This window comes from Homo sapiens, chromosome 2, assembly GCF_000001405.40.
Source record: "Homo sapiens chromosome 2, GRCh38.p14 Primary Assembly".
In the NCBI taxonomy this organism is placed as follows: domain Eukaryota; kingdom Metazoa; phylum Chordata; class Mammalia; order Primates; family Hominidae; genus Homo; species Homo sapiens.
Genome location: NC_000002.12, coordinates 37,398,157 through 37,404,156, shown reverse-complemented (window position 1 = coordinate 37,404,156; position 6,000 = coordinate 37,398,157).

Here is a 6,000-nt window from a genome sequence, read left to right as displayed (position 1 = left end):
GGAAATTTTTCAAAATTATGAGAAAACACAAATCTTTAGAATCAAAGATGCCAATGATTAGCAAACAAGATAAATTCATAAAAAATACATTTATTAGTATTTGAATTTATGAAAGACAAGGAAATTTATACCTAGGCATGCTGTAGTAAAATTACAGAAAGTCAAAGAAAAAGATGAACTTAAAAAGAAATACATTACTAACAAAAGAATGAAAAATAGACAAGATTCTCAGTGGAATGTGTAACAATGGAAGCTGGAAGACAGCAGAACATATTTTCAAAGGGCTGAAGAAAACAACTGTCAACCTAGATATTTATATCCAGCAAAAGCATATAAAAATATTTAAGACAAATGAGTTTTCTACCAACCAATCTAAAGGAATTTCTAAAGGATGTACTTCCTTTAGGAAAAAAAGATTCCAGAAGTAGGGTCTGAGATCCAAGGAAAAATGTTGTGCAAAGAAATTGTTATACATGTGAGAAAAACCTAAATAAATGGACTTAATCAAAAGCTAAAACTACCATCTAATTTACTGTGTTAAAAAATGAGGGAGAACTAAAATATCAGACTAAAAATAATGTATAAGTAAAAATGTGCATATTGAAAGTTCTTTTGGTAATTAGTAAAAATATTAGAAACAGAGTATGTAAGTTCCTAACTAACATGGGAAGGCAGAGTGAAGAAATGAGAATAGTCAATCTAAAACAAGAAAGGGGCAAGGAGGAATGAATAGCAGACAAATAGAAGTCACAAAATAAGATGGTGGAAATAAACCCAAACACAGAAGTTACCACAATTAATAAAAATGGTCGCTACACCCCAGTTAAAGGACAAAGATCATCAAATTGGCTGCAAAAACAAAATCTCCTTATATGCCCTTTACTGGAAGCATACCTAAAGTATCAGAGCAAAAAGTTATTGAGAATAAAAGGATGAAAATGTACAAAGTAAAAGTTGATATAACTAAGAAGAGGAGATCAATTCACAGTATAGTGGGAAATTTTAACACACTTCTATCAGTAATTAATAAATGAAATACACATTTAAAATCAGTAGGGTCATAGAAAATTTAAAATACACAATAAGCAAGCTTGACATAAATAATATAAAAAACTATGCCAGCAACAATCAAACTCATTCTTTTTAAACATTTGAGAACTGACTATGTGCTATATAAAGCAAGCCTTGACAAATTGCAAAGTTTCAGCACATATTCTCTGACTTCAATGCATCAAAGTATAATTTTTTAAAAATTAAAAAACATGACTCATAAAAATATAGAATGAACATGTGCTGAAGAGGCAACTTGTAAAATGGGGAAGTTGGTTCAAAAAGTATTTGAGAAACGGTATTTGTAATCATTTTGAAAAAAGAATGTTACAATAAGATTGGTGGATTAACACTTTGGGAGGCCGAGGCAGGCGTATCACCTGAGGTCACGAGTTCGAGACCAGCCTGGCCAACATAGTGAAACCCTGTCTCTACTAAAAACACAAAAATTAGCCAGGCGTGGTGACATGTTCCTGTAATTCCAGCAACTTGGGAGGCTGAGACAAGAGAATCACTTGAACCCAGGAGGCACAGGTTGCAGTGAGCCAAGATCGTGCCACTGCACTCCTGCCTGGGCAACAGATTGAGACACTGTCTCAAAAATAAAAAAATTAAAATAAAAAGAAAGATTGCCGGATTAGATACAAAACCAGTTAGTGACCTATAGGGCAATAAAACCATAATTTTTAAAGTTTTCTTCCTTATAGATAAAAATCTACAAACTAACATGTAACTTCACAAAATCTGGGCTTTTGTTCAAGAGTGAATAGCAAGTGAAATAAAGGTGCACTAGTCTAAATAACTAGATAATCCTTGGCCAGTTAAACAGTGCTCCAATCTGATATCAAAAGAATGTGTTACCATCCTTTTATCTTATTTCTAAGTTTCAGGTAATTTTTCTTAACATGTATTAGCTTTGTGTATGGGTTTTCTTCTAAGCAAGGGAAGTTACAATAGTGGGAGTAAAATTATAACCTTCAGTAAAAAAGAAAAAGCCCTCAGTTCCACTGTGGTATTGGCAGTACTATATTTTAAGACATTTTCAAACAAGTGCCTTTTTCGAGGGTCACCTCTGCTGAGAAGTACAACCCCAGGCTTCTGTGATTCTCGGTTTGTGGAAGATTTCACTGCCACCCAAGCCCTGCCATTACTGCAACCTCAACCCCACTGACCCAAGCTCTGCTTATATCTGGAGCCAGCCCTGCTTTAATTAAAGGGTTGCCAATATTTTCATCCTTTTTAAAATGCATTTTTATATCTCCTGTGGCAGTCCGCTTGGACAGACAAAATTATTTCCCCAGGAGCCAGTTATCGTTTCTGTGAATGCACTGCTTAGAAAGTTGCCTAGGTTTTGAGGGCTATGCCCCAAACCTATTTGTCCCATAAACCTATCATTTTAATGTGTAACTTTATAGTATGAAAGGTTTTCAGACATATATATGCCACATTATAGCAGAAACTACTTTATTTCATAGGGTGCTTGAAATAGCAGGAGGCATTTTTCATACTGCAAGAGGCAAAAAGTTGTGGTAGATAAGGGATATAGCTAACAGATTGACAGATATTACCAATCATATCCAATAATTTGTCTACTATTACAGAAAAGAAAATCGCATTACTGGTAAGATTATGGCATGCAAGAACATGATTATGGCATGCAATGTATTCTTGTTTAGGAATACAACTTGAAATAGATTTTCAAACTTTTTATTCTGAGCTTATTTGAGTTTAGGTTTCAAATTGTGCAGAAACATCTCTCCAGATGGAGCTACTGCAAAGAAAAGAGACAGCAACCTTTTACTCATATTCTCGTTTTAAACATTAATTTATAATACCATCTTATTCATAAATGCTTTAGTTGCCAAAAAAATGAATCCTGATATTCACATGGCATTACCTGTTGCCATTAAATTGTAAATAGTATTGAATCCAGGATACTAAGCTCATATTTTTAAAAACTGTTGTATGTGAGGAAGTGCAATCAGCTCATATTTAGTGATTGTTCCCTCAGAAGTGACCATTGCCATGGGGCTATATGTTAACATGCTGTTGTTGTCGTTAATATAAAAGTGAAAACAGACTTTTTTCTGAAAGAAAAAAGTTTGTTAGATGAGTCTGACACGGCTGGCTGGCTTTGTCACTTAGGTTATATGGTAGGCATTTTCTAAAGGTTGAATGAATTCTGTGTGCAGTGCAAAGATTTTGACAAAAAAAAATTTAGAGCATTTTATGAAAATGTTATATTGGCAAAGCTGCATTGATATTAGCAATATTTATTTTCACAACTTCTGAGTATTTTCGATTAAACATGGTGAAAGAATAGTAAGTATAATTCATAGTCATTTCATAAGCCTTGGTAATGATTTTTTATTACTTCACAGAAATTTAGAAAGTGAATTATCTAATGACTGAATAAGCATCGTTTTTCAAGATATGTGGCTTCCAAGTTTTTGCTTTCAACAAAATTAAAAATATTAATTAAAAAGGATATAAGATACAAAATAATTTCAATAAATGAATAAAAGCATTTAATAAAATACTATATCCTTTCATTATTTAAATATATACTCAATAAGCTAGGAATAGATAGGAACTTTCTCAACCTGATAAACGGTATCTGGGGAAAATCTATAGCTAATATGATACTTAAAAGCAAAAGACTGAATATTTACCCCCGATATTGAGAAAAAGACAATGAATGGTGTCTGCTCTCAAGACTTTTATTCAGCATTGTACTGGAAGTTCTAGTCCAGCCAATTAGACAAGAAAAAGAATACAAAACATCCATATTGGAAAGGAATAAGTAAAACTATCTGTATCTCATTTGTAGAAAATCCTAAGGAATTCACTTAAAAAACTATTCAAACTAGTAAACGAATTCGGCAATGCTGCAGGATACAAGATCAATTTACAAAAGTCAATTGCATACATAAACAACGAACAATCTAAAAATAAAATTTTAAAAACAATTTTATGTGAAATAGCATCAAAAAAATAAAATGCTTAGGAATAAATTTAACAACATTGAAAACTACCACACATTGCTGAAAGAAATTAAGAAGGCTTAACAAATAGAAAGATATCCCACATTCATGGATTGGAAGATTTAATATTGTAAAGATGGACACAGTCCATAAATTGATGTACAGACTCAACATACCCCCAATCAATATCTCACCAGGCCTTTTTACAGAAATTGACAAGCTAATCCTAAACTTTATATGGAAATCTAAGGGATCCAAAACAGCCAAAGAAATCTTGAAAAAACAAAAAACTTAGATAACTTATACTTCCTAATTTGAAATTTTATTAGAAAGCTATAATAACGAAGAGAGTGTAGTCTAGCATAGGGAGACATATAGGCAATGGATCAGAATTAAAAGTCCGAAAACAAATCCTTACATCATGGTCAGTTTATTTTCAACAAGGGTTCCCAAACAATTCAACAGAGAAAAAACAGTCTTTTCAACAAATGGTACTGGACCAACTGATATCCTCATGTAAAAGAATGAATCTGGACCCTCTAACTTCATACCACATATACAAATTAATTCCAAATGGATTAAAGACCACTTAATCCAGTTATGTTTTAGTAAGAGCTAAAAACCATAAAACTCTAAGAAGAAAATATGGAAATAACCCTCATGACCTTGGGTTGGCAATAGATTCTTAGATATGACACTAAAATTCACAAGCAACAAAAGAAAAAATAGATAAATTGAACTTCATCAAAATTAAGAACTTTTCTGCTTCAAAAAATACCATCAAGAAGGTGAAAAGACAACTCATGAAATGGGGGAAAATGCTTGCAAGTCATGTATCAGTTATAGGTCTTGTACTCAGAATATGTAAGGATCTCTTGTTAACTCAATAATAAGAAGCCACATAATGCAATGAAAAAGTAGGCCAAAAAGCTGAATGGACATTTTTTCAAAGAAGTTATATATAAATGGTCAATAAGTATATGAAGATGCTCAACATCATTAATCATTAGTAAAATGCCAATCAAATCCACAATGAGATTCTATTTCTCGCCTATCAGGAGGCTATCATCAAAAAGACAGACAGTAACAAGTGTTTGTAAGAATATGGAGAAATTGGAATTCTGATACCTTTCTGATAGGAATGTAAAATAGTACAGCTACTTTGGAAAATAGTTTGGTCATTTCTCAAAAATTATATAGAGTTATTATATTACCCAGCAATGCTATTCCTACATATATACCTAAGAGAACTGAAACAATAAAATCACATAAAAACTTGTACTTGAGGCCGGGCGCGGTGACTCACACCTGTAATCCCAGCACTTTGGGAGGCCGAGGTGGGCGGATCATGAGGTCAAGAGATCGAGACCATCCTGGCCAACATGGTGAAACCCCGTCTCTACTAAAAACACAAAAATTAGCTGGGCGTGTTGGTGCGCACCTGTAGTCCCAGCTAGTCAGAAGGCTGAGGCAGGAGAATTGCTTGAACCTGGGAGGCGGAGGTTGCAGTGAGCCAAGATCGCGCCACTGCACTCCAGCCTGGTGACAGAGCGAGACTTCATCTCAAAAAACAAAAACAAAAACAAAAAAACAAACAAAAAAGAGCTTGTACTTGAATGTTCATAATAGCATTATTTGTAATAGGCAAAAAGTAGAAACAATCCGAATGGCCACCGACGGGTAAAAGAATAAACAACATGTAGTGCGGATACCTCCCAATGTATCCACACAATGGAATATTATTTAGCAAAAAAGATAAAAACTACTGATGCATGCTACAACATGGATGAACCTCAAAAATATTATGCTAAGGAAAGAAGCCAGACATTAAAGATTACATATTTTATGATACCTTTTTTTTTTTTTTTTTTTTTTTTTTTTTTTTTTTTTTTTTTTTTTGAGACGGAGTCTCGCTCCGTCCCCAGGCTGGAGTGCAGTGGCACGATCTCCGCTCACTGCAAGCTCC